Raw genomic sequence first — 20,325 nt, 5'->3', positions numbered from 1 at the left:
TGGCATTGCCGGGCATCCTGGGGGGTGCTCCGGACACAGGTCCTGGGCGGGGGCTGTGTGTCCTGAGAAGGCGTGCATGCCCTGGGCTGTCTCCCCACCTGCACCTCTGCATGTATGTTGCATGTGCTTGTGATGAGCAGGCACCTGCTGCTCCTGCGGCTGTTTACCGTGAGTGATGCAGCGTGCGGAGGCTTCGGAGCTGTAGGCGCCCCATGTATGTGCACGTGTTGTATGTGTGCGTTGTGCACGCTGCTGTGTTATGAAGCTGAGATTCTCCAAGGTGGCTGGGCAGAAGGAGTACCTTACAAATGTTACTGCTCACTCCAGCTGCCCAGGACGGTGGCCACAGCTCACCGGCCAGTGACAAAGACAGTTTACTGGTCTGCTGTCAACACCAGGGACCCCCCAGGCGTTTGTCTACTGGAAGCAGAATCGATTTTCCCCTAACTGCCAAGGATCCCCCAGCCCGCTCCCACCCACTGGACCCCTGGTAACTAGAATGGGGGGTGGGAGGTGAATTCAAACAGGAGCCAACAGTGAAATTCATCTTCTGGGGCTGTGGACAGTCCAGTTCAGGGGAGGGCTTACCTTTCAGCCAGGTGTCCCCATCAGAGGACCGCCCTCAGGGGCTGGCCTGCAGCCTCACTCACCTGCCCACTCCAGAAACCCCACAGGGACCCAAAACACCTTGTCTTAGTGAGGCAGGGGAATAAACTGCTAGCAGTGCTGGTTCCAAGCGCTACGTCACTGCCTCAGCACCCCGTGAGGCAGGGGCGATTATCGCCCCATTTTACAGCTAAGCAAGCTGAGGCTTGGTAAGGTTCAATCACTTACACAGCGTTACAGGGCCAGCAGGTGGCAGAGCTGAGCTCTGAAGCCAGACGGTCGGCTCCGAAGTTAGAGCCATGCCATGCCTGACACCTACCTGCCTCTGCCCATCGTTGCCCCTCACAGCTCTCACCAAGGCACGAGGGAATCCTGGGTGGTGCAGGAAGCCCAGGTCAGGAGCCCAGGGCCGGGGCTGGACCTTGTCTCGGGCCCTCAGCCTGCCCTGCTAATGAGGGGCCAGCCCCTGCTCTCCCTCCTGCCTGGGATCTGGAGAGGCTCAAAGAGACAAGGGTGGGCGAGATGCACCAGTTCCCAGCACCGAAGCCCCTTGAACAAGGGGTCTATCTGGGTCCTGTCCAATGCAGCAGGTCCTGTCCAATACAGCAGCCACGGGCCACGCATGGCCATGGAGCACTTGAAATGTGGCTGGGTCCAACTGTAATGTGCTCTAGGTTCAAATTCACACTGGCTTTTGAAGATTTAGGACAAAAATAAGGATATGGAATATCTCACTGATATTTTTTAATATTGTCCATGTGCTGAAATAGTAACAGGATATATGGGGTTTGTTAAAACATATTATTTATTTATTTATTTTTGAGACGGAGTCTTGCTCTGTCGCCCAGGCTGGAGTGCAGTGGCGCGATCTGGGCTCACTGCAACCTCCACCTCCTGGGTTCAAGCGATTCCCCTGCCTCAGCTTCCTGAGTAGCTGGGACTACAGGCGCATGCCACCACGCCCAGCTAATTTTTGTATTTTTAGTAGAGATGGGGTTTCACCATTTTTTTGAGATGGAGTGCTGCTCTGTCGCCCAGACTGGAGTGCAGTGGCGCGATCTTGGTTCACTGCAACCTCCACCTCCCGAGTTCAAGCGATTCTCCTGCCTCAGGCTCCCGAGTAGCTGGGATTACAGGTGCCTGCCACCATGCCCGGCTGATTTTTGTATTTTTACTAGAGACGGGGTTTCACCATGTTGCCTAGGCTAGTTTCAAACTCCTGGTCTCAGGTGCTCCACCCACCTCAGCCTCCCAAAGTGCTGGGATTATAGGCCTGAGCCCCTGCGCCCGGCCTAAAACATATTGTTAAAATCAATTTCACTCTTTCTTCTTTTTTAAAGGTGACTACTGGAAATAAAACCTAAGCCAGCACGTGGCTCACATTTGTGCCTGAGTTGTATAATCCGTAGACAGTGTTGCTTTGCTTTGAACTCAGGCACCCTGGAGGGTCTGGGAGATACTTCTCCAAGGGCTGAATTTGCCTGAACCTGCGGGCAGCTGCTGTCCCACTCCCAGGACCCCAGGACTCACAGTGCTGGTGCTGGGGTTGACACTGCATAGCCACCACATACTGAGCCTGTTCCCAATGTGAGGTCTGGGCTCATAGGTGGGGACAGAAGCGGGGACAGCCTCATAGCTCCATTTCCTAGGCAGGCAAACTGAGGCCCCCAGGTCACTCAACAGTAAGGGGCACAGTCAGGATTCAAACCAAGGTCTATGGGACACACCACAGTCCATGTTCTGTTCTACCCTCACCAGACATTTTTCAAGCACTTCTCCCTACAAAATAAAAGATGAGGATGCATGAGCCACCAGAAGTGGGCTGAAGCCAGGGTTAATTTAGCACACTCCCAGTGACTGGAAATAACATAGCTTAAGAGGATATTTTTCTGTGGTTCATTCATCCATCCATCCTTCCATCTACCATCCATCCATCCATCCATCCATCCACCCACCCATCTACCCATCCTCCCTTCTTCTTTCCTTCCTTCCATTCACCCATCCACCCACCTACCCATCTACCTACATCTGTCCTTCTTCCATTTATCCATCCATCCATTCATTCACCCATCCACATTCATTCACCCCCCATCCATCCACCATTCAATCATCCATCCATCCACCCACCCTTCCACCCACTCTTCCATCCATCCATCCATATACACATCTACCCTCCCTCCCTCCCTCCCTTTCTCCCTTCCTTCCTTCCTTCCACCCACCCATTCATCCATTCACTCATCCATCCATCCACATTCATTCACCCACCATCTATCATCCATTCATCCACCAGCCCACCCACCCTTCTTCCATCCATCCATATATACATCTACCCACCCACCCTTCCTTCCTTCCTCCCATTCACCCACCCATCTATCCATCCATTCATCCATTCACTCATCCATCCATCCACATTCATTCACCCACCATCTACCATCCATCCATCCATCCATCCAGCCATCCATCTATCCACTATACATCCATCCACCCCACCCACCCATCCATTCATCCATCCATACATACATCTACCCTTCCTTCCTTCCTTCCTTCCTCCCTCCCTCTCATTCACCCATCCATCTACCCATCCATCCATCCATCCATCCATCCATCCATCCATCCATCCATCCATTTTCCATTCATTCTTAGAGAGTGGTGGTTAAAAGTGTGGATTCCAGAGCATGACTGTCTAAAGTTTGAATCCCGGCCTCGCCACTGACAAGCTGAACAACTGTGGGCAGGAAACTCCACCGCTCCATGCCTTAGTTTCCCCATCTAAAAGAAAGGGATGATATTGTGAGGTCTCAGTCTAGGATGTTCAGATTCTTCCTTGCCTTTTACTTGCCATGGATTTTTAACCAAAGTAAAAGTTACTTCGTCTCTCAGCCTCAGTCTCCTGTAAAATGGGAACAAAATTGCTTCTTCCTAGTGGTAAGTGGTCAGGAGATAAGACTGCTCAGTGCGATGGGTAAGCGGGGCTGCATGACTTTCTGGGTGGGCAGGGCAGGCTTGCCTTGGAGGGTGGGTGGGGTGGCCATGTTTGGGTGACAACATCCTTTACTGCGCCTCTTCCCTGCGGCTCAGTCTCCGCCAAAGCGTGCATCGGTGTGGCTCCGCTCCAAATCCCGCTAGGAGGAGACCAGCCCCTTTTTGCCACCACAAGATGGGTTTTGTCTCATGAGCATCACGGGCGACTTCCCTTCCCCTGACACTCGCAGCTCCAGCCCGGCAGCACACCTGCCTCCAAGGTCAGTCCCAGATCCATCCTCCACCAAGCCTCTGGGTCCAGCAACTCCACCCTTTCCCTTGGCCCTGGGGGTGGGGCTGCTTCCTGCTGTCACCACCTCACATCACCCGTGCATCCCCTCCTGCCTTCTGGGTCCTCCAGCACCTGCTCAGCAGTGCCAAGAGTCAAATCCTCTCTGTTGAAATGCCTCAAGCAGCTTCTATCGTGGCTGGCCCCTAACTGAGATGGTACAGAACAGGCAGCTGGGACAATGCAGGGACAGCCAGGGATGCAAGTGGCTGCTGGGACAACCCCCCGCCCCAGGGCGCCCAGGGAGGGCCGACCGGAGTCCTGGGTGAGTGGCCCGGGGCCCCCAGCCCAGTCCAGTCCAGCCCAGCCTGCTCGGAGCTTGCTCTCCACCCTGGCCCTCTGCCTGCCCTGCTCCAGCTGCCTGGCATGGGAGGCAGAGCTCTGCCTGCAACCCGAAGAGGCCCTGACACATGTTAAAATAAATATTCTGCAAATATGATGTTCCATATGTATGACTTCGTGGGGTGATGATTTTTCCACTGATCGCTGTAAGTGACAGCTGCGCGGGCAGCGCTGGAAACACAGGCTCCAGCGGCCCTCGCCATGCCACGCAGAGGGGGTGGTGAGGGGGGTGCCATGGCGCAGAGCATCTGGCGACTCGGGGCGTGAGGAGCCCTCGCGCCTGTCAGTGCTGGGCGCAGGAACATTAGCGATTCCGAGGGACGGCGGGAGCAGGTGTTCCCAAGCAGCCTGTTTGTAATAATTACTTTTAGATTGTTTTAAAGTATGTGAGCAAGATCCTGGCGGGCTGGGAGAGAAGGAAGAGGGCGGAGGCTGCAGGCGGCCAGGCCAGCTCAGGGGCAGCCTTGCACATGCCCAGGGCCAGGCAGGGCTAGAGGCATGGCTGGCGGGTTCCCATGTGGCTTGTCCCCACGTGTCCAGCCAGGCTGGTTAACTGACACCCTGCCATTGCATCCTGTGGCCCCAGCAAGCTGCTTCCAGAAGGTCTGGCCTCTCACCAGGAAGCCCCCAGCCTCCCCATGAGCCCCGGGCCGAACAGGTGAAATGTTTTAAGCGGCGACCCTGCCGTCGCCAAGAACCTCAAGCCTCGACTTCTGGGTAAGATGTCTGTACGCTGGCACCGGAGGGGCGGGGGCTTTGTGCCCTGTTCCATCCCAGTCCTGTGAACACAGTGCTCAGTAAGTCCCCCAATGAACGAACAAATGCATTAAAGCGGGTTGTCATTATTAGGAGGACAAGAGCTTTCTTTCTGGTTCCTTCAAGAGACCCCAGAACACTCTTCTTCTGAACACACTTGCTCCAAAGAGCATCCTGAGGTCTGGGCTGTGGGGCATGGATGGAGGAGGCTCTGGCCTCCCTGGTGGATGCAGGTGAGGGCTGAGGAGGGACTCGAGGAGAGCAGGCAGTGCCAGCCTCCAGGAAGTGGCCTCACGTCACTCCTTCAGGTGGGGTGCAGGTACTGGGGCTGACATCCTGGATGGGGCCTCAGGGGGTCTTCCCCGAAGATGTCCCACGAGGCTGGGGCTGCAGGGGCCCTGCCTGTGAGCGGCAGAGGCCAGGACCGTGGGGAGAGCATTCCAGGAGAAGGGAGAGCAAGTGCAGCGGTGGGTGGGAGAGTGGATGGATGGACAGGTGGATGGATGCGGCGACAGAGAGAGGGATACACGCTTGCCACGGTTTGGTCTGCTTGGTGGAGTAAGACTCCCACTCTGGACACCAGGCCACACCCCACCCACCCAGGTCCCACCCCTACCCCACTGCGCATTCTCTTTTCTACAGCCCCCTAACTCCTCTCTCGTTGGGGTTCCCATGTTAGTGCATGGTGGCTCTCCAGGGGCTCAGCGGCCCCCCAGCCTGTGTTGAGGCCCTGGCTGCACACTGGAATCGCCAGCTTTAAGCAAGCCAAACCCTGCCACCCCAGACCAGCTGGATGGGAACAGCAGCTGGGACTCTGGCTGGGGGTGACTTCCGAAGCCCTCCAGGGATCTCAGGTGCAGCAGAATGAGGCCACGGCAGAGCAGCAGCTGGGTGGAGCCCCCGAGGCAGCGATGGGTGAGGCCATTGGACATCTCCGGCTGGAGCCTGACCCAGGGCCTGGCCTTGCCACTCAGGGAGGACGTCCATGCAGGTCTGGAAATGGCTCTCCAGCTTGGCTGGGCGTTTGCCCCTTCCCTGCAGAGAAGGGTTCCCCTGACCATTTCCAGCACAAAAGGTGAGCAGAGAAGGTTTCGCTCATCAGGGGTGGGGCAAATGATGAGGATCTGGTTCCTGGGGAGCTGACTCTGCTCCACTTCAGTGCTTGCGAGGCAGTGCCTGGGGCCAGCCTCACCTCAATGCCTCCTTGGGCAGGGATGTGTGGACCAGGGGCTGGGAGTAGTGGTGTTTACAGGTGCTATTTAAAAGCCAGGCAAGTTCAATATTAGCTCTGGGGTTTGTGCAATCTGTTGTCAAGATAAAGCAGCCAGGCAGGTGAGCAAGCGGGGTGCGGCCCCACCCCTGGAGCCCCGAGCGTCAGGCCTGGTTAATGAGCAGCCAGAGGGTTCAGCCGCCCTTCCTCCAATGCCTGCTTTCCAGAGTCTGCTGAGTCCAAACCCAGGGCAGCAGCGCCCCCAAACCCCTCTCTCCTCACTCCCTGGCTCCGGCCTCCCAAGTCCCCAAGCGGCTTCTGCACCTGCAGGGCCTCTGCCTGGATCTCTCTCCTCTCGCCTCCTTCAGGTCAGAATGCCGCTTCTTGCGGCCAGAACGCCCCCTCTCTCCTGCCCCTTTCTCTCTCCTACTGTCTGCTTTTTTTTTTTTTTCTTTTGGCCAGAACAGGGCAAGGCCCACAGTGGCTGCTCCGTGAACGTGTGTACAAGGGGACTCCCGCACGCTGCTCCTCCTCCTCCTCCCTTCCTTGCTCAGCCCCACCCCACACTGCCTCCCGCGTGGGCCCCAGGCTTCTCCCATCCACCAGGCCTCCGGGGGAGGAACCGACATCCCTCATTTAGTGGCTCCACAGGGGCACCCCCCCCCGCCCCGCCCAGCTCCTTCCCGCAGAGCCTCTTACTGTCAGTCTTGCCGGGAGCCTCGCCTGTGCGGGGAGGATCCTGACAGCCACCCCTAGCAGATCTCATCTTTTATTCATGCCGATAATGTCAACGGGATTGTGTCTGATGCAAAGTCACTTAACCCATTAGAAGAAGCTGTGGCTGCAGCCCAGCCAGGGACCAGGGGAGGAGGGGGCCGAGGTGGGGTGCGAGGATGACCCGGGCACACCCTGGGGACATGGGGGTTCGATGATGGCCTGCCTGGGTCAGAGGTGCAGCTTTTCCATGCTGGGCTGTTCCTGTACATGGGCCGTGGGGCGGGAGTTCTGCCCACTATGAGCCTACATGGGAGAGGGGCCCCCGGAAAGACAATGATCACACCTACCTCAAGGGGGGTGCTGTGGGGCTGAACGGGATCCCTTCGAAAGCCCTCAGCATGGGCCTGCCAGAGGAGGCCGGCCTTGAAGCTTCTTTTAGGAAAAAGGCCCTGAAGTCGGCCCCTCACCCCGGAAGCCATTCCCCCCAAAAATACAAGCATGGAAACACAGCTACCCTCTCCCCATCTACCTCTCTGGGGTTCCTGGTGGGAGGCCCTAAGCCTCCACCCAGGACGACCGGAAGCCACCAGCCCTTGGTTCCCCGAGGGAAGGGGCTCCCTCCAGGCAGGAACAAATGGTACCTGGAAGCACCCCCGACGCCCCCAGGTGGAAACCGTTCACAAGCTCGGGCCTGCAAATGAGCAGCTGCCAGCAGCCCCGAAAACCTGCCTTCTCCTCCCCGCCTGGTCAGAAAATCGCTGTGCAGCTGTTTGTTGAATTAACAAGTCATGAAGGAGTTGGGGCTGCTGTTTGAGACCCAGCTTGGGCTGAGCATCCTGGGGCCAGGCCCTGCCCCTCTCTGTGCCCCAGCTTTCTCCTGGTTGAATGAGGCGGTGGAGCCCCTGCTTGCTGTGCTCTTTTCTGGGGTGCATCTCCCGGTGCTGAGTGTCCAGAGGGTGTGGAAATTGGGGTGACCCTGTGGAAAGCAGGACCCCCGCAGGATGCCCTAGGCTCCCATCCCCCTGCAATCTGGGGCCAGGGCCCGAGAGACCCCCCCAGGGACCCCAGTCTTGGGCCCAAATCGCTGGCGGGGGTCCCCGTCCAGGAGACAGGAGGGTGCCTGCTTGCACTCCGAACTGCCCAGCCCTGCCCTTCCTGTTTCTCTTGGTTTAACACACACTTTCACAGCGCCCACTGCGTGCCGGGCTCTGTGCTCAACACCAAACATATCAATTCATTTAATCCTCCCAACGCCCCCGGGTAATAACAGTAGGCTCTGTTATGATTCCCATTTTACAGAGGGGGCCACTGAGGCCTAGAGCGTCACGTGGCACAGGCGGTGGCGGCGCAGACGCTGCAGCCCGACTGCAGCGCGCCCCCTGCAGGACAGCGCGGTCTCACACCGCGGGTGAAGCCGCCATCGCCGCCGCAGCCGGTAGGGGCGCCCCCGTGTGGAGGCCCGCGGCACTGCAGCTCCAGGCTGCGGCCGGGTGCCCTGCAGCCTCTCTAGAGGTCCTGGTGGGAGGCCCTTACACTCCACCCAGGGCGAGAGGAAGCCACCTGCCCTTGGCTCCCCAAGGGAAGGCAGCTGCTGGCTAGCCACCCCTGAGAGTGCTGACGGATCACAGGTGTGGTCATAGTGGAATCTGAGCACCAGCATGCCCGGTGGGCCGAGTGGGCTGGCCTCATCTGCTGCAGGCCCTCCAGTGTTTGTGAGTCGCGTCACTGGAGGACGCATGGTGGTGACACAAAGGAGGCACATGGGCCCTGAGTGACCAGAGAGCAATGGTGCCACCCCCCTTGGCCCTGGAAGCCCCAGGGTCCTCCGCAGCGGGGACTTCCTCCGAGGAGACATGGCGATGGGGAGGGAGGACAAGACAGAAGCAAATCCTGCCTGATCCTGTGTTAGCTTTCCAGGGCTGCCAGAGCTACAAACTGCGTGGCTTAGATCAACAGAAGTACGTTCCCTCACGATCCTGGACACCCAAAGTTGGAAATCAAGGTGTCCGCAGGGCCACACTCCCTCCAGAGGTACTAGGGCGACAACCTGGGCGACAGGGCAAAACCCTGTCTCAAAAAACAAAAAGCACACAAAAAGAAATGGGGTCTCGCTGTGTTGCCCAGGCTGGTTTCGAACTCCTGGCTTCAAGCAGTCCTCCTACTTCAGCCTCCCAAAGCACTGGGATTATAGGCATGAGCCACCACCCGTCTGGCCTGAGCACACTGCTCAGTGTCTGCCAGGGCACCCGTCAGACCCCTCTAGACACTTTAGGGCAGGGACTTGTTCTGTTCAGCATCCCTGGCCCCGATGTCAAGCTCAGCATTCACAGACCCATGATAACTGCCAGCTGGGCCTCAGAGGGGCCTTCCTAGCTCAGACTTTGCCCCTGCTGTCCCTCAGTTCTGTTCCAGCCCAGTCCCCCCGACTCTGACCCTCCCAGAGCAGTGGTGGTCAGCCCTGGCTGCCCACTCCACTTCACCTGTGGAGTTCCTGGCTGGCCCTGCAGAAGCCCTACTCGGACCATTTCCATCAGAGTCTTGGAGGGGTGGGGGCGGGGCGGGGGAGGCAGGCATCAGAGGGGTTTTTAGAGATCCCCAGCTGATTCCAACGTGCATTCACCGTTGCACACGACTGCACCCGAGGCATGAGAAAGGCTGGCATGTTCTGGCATAATGTTATTTTTTGTTTTTTGTTTTTTGTTTTTTTTTTTTGAGACACAGCCTTGCTCTATTGCCCAGGCTGGAGTACAGTGATGCAGTCATGGCTCACTGCAGCCTCGATTTCCCAGGGTCAGGCGATCCTCCCACCTCAGCCTCCCGAGTAGCTAGGACCACAGATGTGCACCACCACGCCTGGCTAACTTTTGTTCGTAGACAGGGTCTCACTATGTTGCTCAGGCTGGTCTCAAACTCCTGGGCTCAAGCAGTCCTCCCATCTCAGCCTCCCAAAGTGCTGGGATTATAGGCACGAGCCACCACGCCCGGCCATCTGGTATATTCTCAAACCCTGACCCCGACTCTAAATGTTGCCTCCTGAGGTGGCCTCTAGCGCCCTCTATGAGGTGAACCTTTTGTAAGGGCAGGGCCCGGGCACCCTCACTGCTGTCCCTGCAGAGACTAAGGCAGCCTCTGACTGTCAGAATCCCCAGGCTCGGTGCCTGGGCTCCCATCACGTCACTCACTCCCAAGGTGTCTCCCCAGTCTCCCAGCTTTACACGCCATCTGTGCGCTGGGACGCCCACATTCATAGCTCCAGACTCAAATATCCAACTGCCAGTTGGATCTCCGCACAGTGTCTCACGGCAGCTCTCACATGGCCAGGACGGAGCTCCAGCGCCTCTCCCACCCCCAAACCTGCTCCTCCTGGCAACACTAACCTTCCAGCCGCTCAAGTCAACAGACTTGGAGATGTTCTAAGGTTCTCTCTCTCTCCTATCCCACCTCTGCTCCGCCAGCAAATCCTGACAGCTCTATGCTCAAAACGTTTCCCAAATCCAATCCCTCCCTACAAAGCTGCCACCCTGGTCCTGCCTGGATCCCTGCAGCAGTCTTCTGGTGGCTCCCTGCTTGCCGGCTTGTCCCCCTTTTTCTATTCCTCATATAGTGGCCAGGGGGATCCTGCATCAGTACCTTGGAAGGACTCTCTCTCCTTTTGGCACTAGACTGTGTCCTCTTGATGGTGCCTGTCCCCAACGTCCCACAGACAGCAGTGGCTTCTCTATGCTGAGAGGCTGGGTCTGGCTCCTGGGAGGGGCAGGAAGGCTGCTGGCCTGTGTGTGCCTGTTCCTGAGCAGGCTGGGCTACAGCAGTCAGAGAGGGCTTCCTGGAGGAGGCGGGGCTTGTGCTAAGGGCTGATCTGGATGGGCAGCCAGGAGAAACACAGGAGATGGCCAAAGAGCAGTAGACGAGACAAGCAGTGTGCCAGGAAAGGCAGCGAGTGGGCTGCATCATCCTCTGCTTCTGAGGGAGCCGTGCCTGGGGCGACCCTGGGGTCCCATGCCTTGGAGGTTGGACCTTTCAGCCCCACCTCTGTGACTTTGCATGTTACTGGCTTCATGGCAGCTAAAAAGACTGCTCAGCACGCTTCCCGGAGCACATTTCCCCAACCTGCCTCCGTCTGGCATGGTGACTCGCAATGTGGCCCTTGGGCCAATGGCGGCATTGTTAGAAATGCAGCCTCCAGCCAGGCGCGGTGGCTCACGCCTGTAATCCCAGTACTTTGGGAGGCTGAGGCGGGTGGATCACGAGGTCAGGAGTTCAAGACCAGCCTGGTCAAGATGGTGAAACCCCATCTCTACTAAAAATACAAAAATTAGCTGGGCATGGTGGCAGACCCCTGTAATCCCAGCTACTCGGAAGGCTGAGGCAGAGAATCGCTTGAACTCGGGAGGCGGAGGTTGCAGTGAGCCGAGATCGAGCCCCTGCCCTCCAGCCCGGCCGACAGAGTGAGACTCCATCTCAAAAGAAAAAGAAAAAAGAAATGCAGCCTTCAGCCCTGCCTCAGACCCATGGAATCAGAAATGCTGTGGGTGCAGCCCAGCATTCAGGACTGTAACACGTCCTGCGACGGATGCTGATGCCCTGGGACACTGAGATCCTCTGCTCTAGCCTTGGGAATAGCCTGGGCCCAGCGCCCCCTCCTCTCCCACTGGCCTTGGGCCCCAGCCTTCCATACCCAGGGACATCTGGCAGCCAAAGCGGCCTGGGCCACCCATGGGGCAACAGAGCCACCTAACCCGCTGATGCAGACACTCTGGAGGCAGTGGTAGAGGTGAGCTTCCTACCGCTATGCTGCACACACACCTGGGCGGCCCTTCTAAAACCACAGGCACTTAGAGCCAGAGGGAGTCCGAAACCGTGTGCTCTGACCCTCTCCAGGCTGCAGGGAGAACACAGAGGCCAAGGATCTTCTTCCAGCTCGGGTCTTCCAGCAGACTAGCGGCCTGACAGGCTGTGCAGGTGGTCAGCCGGGGGTGATGTTGCCCCCAGGGGGACATCTGGCAATATCAAAAGATGTTTTGGTTGTCACAACTCGGGGAGTGAGTGCTACTGGCATCTAGTGGGGTTGAGGCTGGGAATGTGGCAAACACCCAACAGTGCACAGGATGGCCCCCACCACCCAAAATTATCTCACCCAAATATCCACAGGGCTGCTGGGCATGGTGGCTCACACCTGTAATTTGAACTATAATTTGTAATTTTGGGAGGCCAAGGCCGGGGGACCGATTGAGCCCATAAGTTTGAGACCAGCCTGGGCAACATGGTGAGACCTGCTCTACAAAAAAATACAAAAAAATTAGCCGGGCATGGTGGCTTGTGCCTGTACTCCCAGCCACCCAGGAGGCTGAGATGGGAGGATGACTTGAGCCTGGGAGGTTGAGGCTGCAGCGACCATGATCGTGCCACTGCACCCCGGCCTGGGGGACAGAGTGAGACTCTGCCTCAAAAAACAAAAAAACAAACAAACAAACAAAAAACAAAACAAGAAAAACCACCACCAACAAAAAACTCCACAGGGCTAAGGTTGAGAAGCCCCGGGATCCATGCAAGTTCTTGGGCCTTCAAGTCAGCCGTGACCCAGGGAACCTGTAATTCCACGAAAGTGGATTTTGCCAGGGACTCTTGGGTTCCCATGAAGAATCTTAGCAAGGAAACCTGCTTAGCAACTCTTAGCAAGGAAACCTGCAGGGCTGCTGAAATGTACAGGATGTGATGGGCCCCTGAAAGTCTGGCAGGCCCCACAGGTTGCCACCCTCAACCCGGGCTCCCCCTAGAGGGCAAGTGGGCACACCGCATCCCACGTGGCAGGGGCTGCACCTCCTTCCGGGAAGGAGCTGGGCAGAAAGCACCGCCCGGTGGACTCCCACCTGCTCGGGAGGAGCCGCTCTGAACCCATGGCCCCACCCCATCTCACCACTTGCTCCCACTTGGGGGCTCTGAACGGAGAAACCCCACAGAGCAGAATTATACATTCAACCTTGAGAAATTAGGCGGCCCTCCCAGCTCCCGGCCCCGGGCCCCTCCCTCCTCCAGCAGGCTGGCGAGCCGGGTTCCAAGAGCGGTTCATATTTAATAATGCAATTTATATTCCACTCTCAACATAAACTATTGTAAAGGCGCTCTAATGTAAAAATACATCTGGCTTGTCAATAGTTTATCTTCTGGATCGGCATCTAAATCCCTGGGCCTGTTTGACTTATGGCTGCACCACTGTCTAATGAATAAAAAGGTGCAAATTATAGGCCCGGCTTTAATGCTCATCATAAAATTAGACGATAGTTGCAAAAGCTGCATTCTCCTGCCCACAGTGCCGCGATGGTGAGCCATAAATAAAGTGTATTTAATGTATCCCTGGGCTGTGCAAACCCAGGAAACAGTGTGTTATTGCTCGGCCTTCGATGGGTCCGCCACAAGTTCAATGAAGTGATAACGGATCCATCATGTGAATTTATGTTAACTGTCTCCTTGCAAAGCCATGGCCTCAACACTGTAAATAGCCTACAATCCTTCTAGCGGGCCTGCCTGCCAATAAAACTGTCACTGCCAGCTTGGCAGCCAGCACCTCCAGGACAGGGGGAACAAGCCGTAAGTTTCTGGAGGCCGACCCGGGCTGCGCCTCCCACCCTCGCAGCTCTGCTGTGGGGCCGTCAACTGTACAGGGAATGAATCTTCTTCCAAACAGAGCAGATCCCGATCACGGGGTCAGCAGAGGCCAGCTGCTGTAGAAGGGTTTGCTCGGGGCCCTGGCTGGTAGGGGACGGGGGCTGAGAAGGCGGCCATCTGCCTTGCCTTCGGGGAGCAGAGCCAGGGATCTCAGGGTGAGGACCCGGTTTGCCAGCTCTGCATCTCTAGGATGGCAAGTTTGCCGTAGCAAACCCCAGGACGCCCTCAGCACCTGGAAGCCACCAGTAACAGTCATTATATAGTCATTCATTTGTTCATTCATTCATTCATCATCATGTCCTATTTAGCACTTCGTCTGCTGTAGGTCCTCTGTAGACATGAAGAGGACACACTCCCTCCCCAGGGGGACCCAAAAGATGAGAAAACAAGGTACACAAATATAAAATTAAGTCCTGGCCAGACACAGTGGCTCACACCTGTAATCCAAGTACTCTGAGAGGCCAAGGTGGGAGAATCGTTTGAGTACGGGGGTTCAAGACCAGTCTGGGCAACATAGGGAGACCCTGTCTCTACAGAAAATACAAAAATTAGCATGGTGGTGCACACCCAAGGTCCCAGCTAGTCAGGAGGCTGAGGCAAGAGGATAGCTTGACCCCAGGAGGTAGAGGCTGCTGTGAGCTATGATTGGACCACTGCACTCTAGCCTAGGCAACAGAGTGAGACCCTGTATCAAAAGTAAATAAATAAAAATAAAATCAGGCTGGGCACGGTGGCTCATGCCTGTGATCCCAGCACTTTGGGAGGCCGAGGCAGGTGGATCGCCTGAGGTCAGGAGTTCAAGACCAGCCTTGCCAACATGGTGAAACCCCGTCTCTACTAAAAATACAAAAAATTAGTCAGGCATGGTGGCAGGTGCCTGTAATCCCAGTTATTCAGGAGGCTGAGGCAGGAGAATTGCTTGAACCCAGGAGGCAGAGGTTTCAGTGAGCCAAGATCGCAACATTGCACTGCAGCCTGGGTGACAGAGCAAGACTCCATCTCAAGAAATAAATAAATAACTAGAATAAAGTCATACTAATGTCTATGCATATCAAAATTATGATGCTGTCTCCCTTCTCCAAAGCCCCAGGGCACAAGCCCTGACACCTGTGTTTCTGAGCGTGGGTGTTGGGACCCACGAAGGCATGGCGATGTCATTCTGTGGGTCAGGGCAGTAGTCTTTTTCCATGGCACAAAACAGAATAGAAAATGCGAGAGATGTGGGTGTGGAGAAAGGGTGTGCGCTGTTTCAGGGAAGATGTGTACATGGCCTGCGTCATGATATAAAATGTGAAATCCATATTGTGGGTTGTTGACATAGATGTTGGAGAAACACCTGACCATGGCAGTGATTTAGCAACCAATGCAGTTCCCGAAATACCAGCTTTCTCAGCACGTGAAAGTATCTGATGTTTCCGAGTAAGTCCCCTAAATGCCCCCTCCCTGCTCTGTGTCTAGCTTGACTCCTCATCCCATAGACCTGTGGCATGGAAGGGGAGCGTGGGCCCATGGGGGAGTGCCAGCTGTGCACACCCTCTGTGTTAGTCCGTTCTCACACTGCTATAAAGAACTGCCTGAGACTGGGTTATTTATAAAGGAAAGGGGTTTAATGGATTCACAGTTCTGCATGGCTGGGGAGGCCTCAGGAACTTACAATCATGGCGGAAGGTGAGAGAGAAGCAAGGTGCCCTCTTCACAAGACAGCAGGAAGGAGAAGTGCTGAGCAAAGGGGGAAGGGCCTGTTATAAAACCATCAGATCTCACGAGAACTCACTCACTATCACGAGAACAGTACAAGGAAAACCACCCCCATGATCTAGTCACCTCCCACCAGGTGTCTCTCTCAACAGCTGGGGATTACAATTCAAGGCAAGATTTGGGTGGGGACACAAAGTCTAACCATATCACCCTCCTTGCCCTGGAGGTTCTGGGAGTAACCATTAGGATTCTCTATGTTAAATTCCTCACCCCCTTTTTGAATTGCTGTTTGGGGGTCAGTTTTATAAGGTACAGTCTGCTAGGCCAGTGGTACATGTATGTAATTGATACCTAAGTAACTATGTCCATTTGCGAAGCGTGTGCTTAACGTGACTTTACTGACATGGGTTGAAGGAAGTCTGGAGACCACCGGGACCCTCAGCCCACCCTCAGCCCTTGCCGCCTGAAGGTGTAAGTGACATTAGTGATGGAAGATGGTGCTCCACGGTCACCCGGGAGAGCAGGCCGCCATGCTTGGGGGTCACAGCTGGGGAAGATGGTGACATCAATCTCCCCAACTTCAGGCAGCTCCTCCCTCCTGGACCCTCCCTCCATGGCCCTGCCTTCCTCCTAGGTAAAGCGCCAAAGCTACTCAGCTCTTGGCTTCCCAACCCTCAACCCACCTCGTTCCCCGTGTCCCACACTCTCGTGGGAGATGGGGGTCCCTCAGCCCCGCTGCCTCAACCTCACTCACAGCGGCCGCTGCCCGGATGGGAGCGGCACTTCCACGTGCTTGTTGCAGGGTGTGCGGAAACACACAGGCTTCAAAATGGAAAAGGGCGCTCGGCCTGGAAACAGCCAAGAGACAAGCAGAGCAGCAGGGGCTCCGTGGGGCGGCCCCTCCAGCAGCAGCACGGAACCTTCCAGAAGCCAGGCCCTCCTAAGTGTGCGATAAAGGCTCAGCATTATAACCTGCACCCGAACAGGCACCCGGGCCGATGGCTTCACGGACACATGGTCAATACAGTCACACAGGGGCTGGGGTGGGCTGGATCACGGCCCCCTGAAAAGATGTCCCTGTCCTCATCCCTGGAACCTGTGAATGCGGCTTTATATGGCAAAAAGGTAAGGGTGTTTGCAGGTGTGATTAAATCAACAGTTGCACTGGAGAGGTCAGCGAGGATTATCAGAGGGACCCTGAGTGCAACGGTGAGGATTATCCGGGGGGCCTGAGAGTAACAGTGAGGATTATCCAGGTGCCCTGAGTGTAACGGTGAGGATTATCCAGGGGGGCCCTGAGTGTAACGGTGAGGATTATCCGGGGGGCCTGAGTGTAACAGTGAGGATTATCCAGGTGCCCTGAGTGTAACGGTGAGGATTATCCAGGGGGGCCCTGAGTGTAACGGTGAGGATTATCCGGGGGGCCTGAGTGTAACAGTGAGGATTATCCAGGGGGGCCCTGAGTGTAACGGTGAGGATTATCCAGGGGGGCCCTGAGTGTAACGGTGAGGATTATCCGGGGGGCCTGAGTGTAACAGTGAGGATTATCCAGGGGGGCCCTGAGTGTAACAGTGAGGATTATCCGGGGGGCCTGAGTGTAACAGTGAGGATTATCCAGGGGGGCCCTGAGTGTAACGGTGAGGATTATCCGGGGGGCCTGAGTGTAACAGTGAGGATTATTCAGGGGGGCCCTGAGTGTAACGGTGAGGATTATCCGGGGGGCCTGAGTGTAACAGTGAGGATTATCCAGGGGGGCCCTGAGTGTAACAGTGAGGATTATCCGGGGGGCCTGAGTGTAACAGTGAGGATTATCCAGGGGGGCCCTGAGTGTAACGGTGAGGATTATCCGGGGGGCCTGAGTGTAACAGTGAGGATTATTCAGGGGGGCCCTGAGTGTAACGGTGAGGATTATCCGGGGGGCCTGAGTGTAACAGTGAGGATTATCCAGGGGGGCCCTGAGTGTAACGGTGAGGATTATCCGGGGGGCCTGAGTGTAACAGTGAGGATTATCCAGGGGGGCCCTGAGTGTAACGGTGAGGATTATCCAGGGGGGGCCTGAGTGTAACAGTGAGGATTATCCGGGGGGCCTGAGTGTAACGGTGAGGATTATCCAGGGGGCCCTGAGTGTAACGGTGAGGATTATCCGGGAGGCCTGAGTGTAACAGTGAGGATTATCCAGGGGGGCCCTGAGTGTAACGGTGAGGATTATCCGGGGGGCCCTGAGTGTAACAGTGAGGATTATCCGGGGGGCCCTGAGTGTAACAGTGAGGATTATCCGGGGGGCCCTGAGTGTAAGAGTGAGGATTATCCGGGGGGCCTGAGTGTAACAGTGAGAATTATCCGGGGGGGCCCTGAGTGTAACAGTGAGAATTATCCGGGGGGGCCCTGAGTGTAACAGTGAGGATTATCCAGGGGGGCCCTGAGTGTAACGGTGAGGATTATCCGGGGGGCCTGAGTGTAACGGTGAGGATTATCCAGGGGGGCCCTGAGTGTAACGGTGAGGATTATCCAGGGGGGACCTGAGTGTAACGGTGAGGATTATCCGGGGGGCCCTGAGTGTAACGGTGAGGATTATCCGGGAGGCCTGAGTGTAACAGTGAGGATTATCCAGGGGGGCCCTGAGTGTAACGGTGAGGATTATCCGGGGGGCCTGAGTGTAACAGTGAGGATTATCCAGGGGGGCCCTGAGTGTAACAGTGAGGATTATCCGGTGTGCCTGAGTGTAACAGTGAGGATTATCCGGGGGCCCTGAGTGTAACAGTGAGGATTATCCGGGGGGCCTGAGTGTAACAGTGAGGATTATCCAGGGGGGCCCTGAGTGTAACGGTGAGGATTATCCGGGGGGCCTGAGTGTAACAGTGAGGATTATCCGGGGGACCCTGAGTGCAACGGTGAGGATTATCCGGGTGGCCTGAGAGTAACAGTGAGGATTATCCAGGGGGGCTCTGAGTGTAACAGTGAGGATTATCCGGGGGGCCCTGAGTGTAACAGTGAGGATTATCCGGGGGCCTGAGTGTAACAGTGAGGATTATCCAGGGGGGCCCTGAGTGTAACAGCGAGGATTATCAGAGGGACCCTGAGTGCAACAGTGAGGATTATCCGGGGGGCCTGAGAGTAACAGTGAGGATTATCCGGGGGGCCCTGAGTGTAACAGTGAGGATTATCCGGGGGCCTGAGTGTAACAGTAAGGATTATCCGGGGGGCCTGAGTGTAACAGCGAGGATTATCAGAGGGACCCTGAGTGCAACAGTGAGGATTATCCGGGGGGTCTGAGAGTAACAGTGAGGATTATCCGGGGGGCCCTGAGTGTAACAGTGAGGATTATCCGGGGGCCTGAGTGTAACAGTAAGGATTATCCGGGGGGCCTGAGTGTAACAGCGAGGATTATCAGAGGGACCCTGAGTGCAACAGTGAGGATTATCCGGGGGGCCTAAGAGTAACAGTGAGGATTATCCGGGGGGCCCTGAGTGTAACAGTGAGCATTATCCAGGGGGGCCCTGAGTGTAACAGTGAGGATTATCCAGGGGGCCCTGAGTGTAACAGTGAGGATTATCCAGGGGGGCCTGAGTGTAAAAGTGAGGATTATCCGGGGGGCCCTGAGTGTAACAGTGAGGATTATCCAGGGGGGCCTGAGTGTAACAGTGAGGATTATCCAGGGGGCCCTGAGTGCAACGGTGAGGATTATCCGGGGGGCCTGAGAGTAACAGTGAGGATTATCCAGGGGGCCCTGAGTGTAACAGTGAGGATTATCCGGGGGCCTGAGTGTAACAGTGAGGATTATCCAGGGGGGCCCTGAGTGTAACAGCGAGGATTATCAGAGGGACCCTGAGTGCAACAGTGAGGATTATCCGGGGGGCCTGAGAGTAACAGTGAGGATTATCCGGGGGGCCCTGAGTGTAACAGTGAGGATTATCCGGGGGGGGCCCTGAGTGTAACAGTGAGGATTATCCGGGGGGCCTGAGTGTAACAGTGAGGATTATCCGGGGGCCCTGAGTGTAAAAGTGAGGATTATCCGGGGGGCCTGAGTGTAACAGTGAGGATTATCCGGGGGGGCCTGAGAGTAACAGTGAGGATTATCCAGGGGGCCCTGAGTGTAACAGTGAGGATTATCCGGGGGGCCCTGAGTGTAACGGTGAGGATTATCCAGGGGGGCCCTGAGTGTAACGGTGAGGATTATCAGAGGGACCCTGAGTGCAACAGTGAGGATTATCCGGGGGGCCTGAGAGTAACAGTGAGGATTATCCAGGGGGCCCTGAGTGTAACGGTGAGGATTATCCGGGGGGCCCTGAGTGTAACGGTGAGGATTATCCAGGGGGGCCCTGAGTGTAACGGTGAGGATTATCCAGGGGGGCCCTGAGTGCAACAGTGAGGATTATCCAGGGGGGCCTGAGGGTAACAGTGAGGATTATCCAGGTGCCCTGAGTGTAACAGTGAGGATTATCCGGGGGGCCCTGAGTGCAACAGTGAGGATTATCCAGGGGGGCCTGAGAGTAACAGTGAGGATTATCCGGGGGGGCCCTGAGTGTAACAGTGAGGATTATCCAGGGGGGCCCTGAGTGTAACAGTGAGGATTATCCAGGGGGCCTGAGTGTAACAGTGAGGATTATCCAGGGGGGCCCTGAGTGTAACAGTGAGGATTATCCGGGGGGCCCTGAGTGTAACAGTGAGGATTATCAGAGGGACCCTGAGTGCAACAGTGAGGATTATCCGGGGGGCCTGAGAGTAACAGTGAGGATTATCCGGGGGGCCCTGAGTGTAACGGTGAGGATTATCCGGGGCGCCTGAGAGTAACGGTGAGGATTATCCAGGGGGGCCCTGAGTGTAACGGTGAGGATTATCCAGGGGGCCCCTGAGTGTAACAGTGAGGATTATCCGGGGGGCCCTGAGTGTAACGGTGAGGATTATCCAGGTGGGCCCTGAGTGTAACGGTGAGGATTATCCGGGGGGCCTGAGTGTAACAGTGAGGATTATCCAGGGGGCCCTGAGTGTAACAGTGAGGATTATCCAGGGGGCCTGAGTGTAA

At 56.3% G+C, this 20,325-nt stretch overlaps 1 protein-coding gene across 6 annotated transcripts in view, besides 5 other annotated features; it reads right to left on the bottom strand.

Annotated features, from left to right (window-relative positions):
* GSE1 (Gse1 coiled-coil protein) overlaps window positions 1–20,325 on the bottom strand; it is a 506,689-nt gene that overhangs the window by 246,942 nt on the left and 239,422 nt on the right. The window lies entirely within an intron of this gene.
* Window positions 6,402–6,696: a silencer, noted in NCBI's record as "tiled region #8888; HepG2 Repressive non-DNase unmatched - State 4:PromP, and K562 Repressive non-DNase unmatched - State 8:EnhW". NCBI's record gives its function as "represses a minimal TATA promoter and a strong SV40 promoter by Sharpr-MPRA in HepG2 and K562 cells {active_cell/tissue: HepG2 | K562}" and the evidence as "EXISTENCE:reporter gene assay evidence [ECO:0000049][PMID:27701403]".
* Window positions 8,190–8,499: a silencer, noted in NCBI's record as "silent region_7805". NCBI's record gives its function as "represses an Ori minimal core promoter by ATAC-STARR-seq in GM12878 lymphoblastoid cells {active_cell/tissue: GM12878}" and the evidence as "EXISTENCE:reporter gene assay evidence [ECO:0000049][PMID:35858748]".
* Window positions 8,190–9,195: a biological region, named in NCBI's record as "H3K4me1 hESC enhancer GRCh37_chr16:85453670-85454511".
* Window positions 8,354–9,195: an enhancer, noted in NCBI's record as "H3K4me1 hESC enhancer chr16:85453670-85454511 (GRCh37/hg19 assembly coordinates)". NCBI's record gives its function as "activates a minimal SCP1, AML or CMV promoter by ChIP-STARR-seq in primed H9 embryonic stem cells {active_cell/tissue: H9 hESC(primed)}" and the evidence as "EXISTENCE:reporter gene assay evidence [ECO:0000049][PMID:30033119]".
* Window positions 10,319–10,936: an enhancer, noted in NCBI's record as "H3K4me1 hESC enhancer chr16:85451929-85452546 (GRCh37/hg19 assembly coordinates)". NCBI's record gives its function as "activates a minimal SCP1, AML or CMV promoter by ChIP-STARR-seq in primed H9 embryonic stem cells {active_cell/tissue: H9 hESC(primed)}" and the evidence as "EXISTENCE:reporter gene assay evidence [ECO:0000049][PMID:30033119]".

Source organism: Homo sapiens, chromosome 16, assembly GCF_000001405.40.
Source record: "Homo sapiens chromosome 16, GRCh38.p14 Primary Assembly".
NCBI lineage: Eukaryota > Metazoa > Chordata > Mammalia > Primates > Hominidae > Homo > Homo sapiens.
This window is presented reverse-complemented; position numbering and strand designations above follow the sequence as displayed.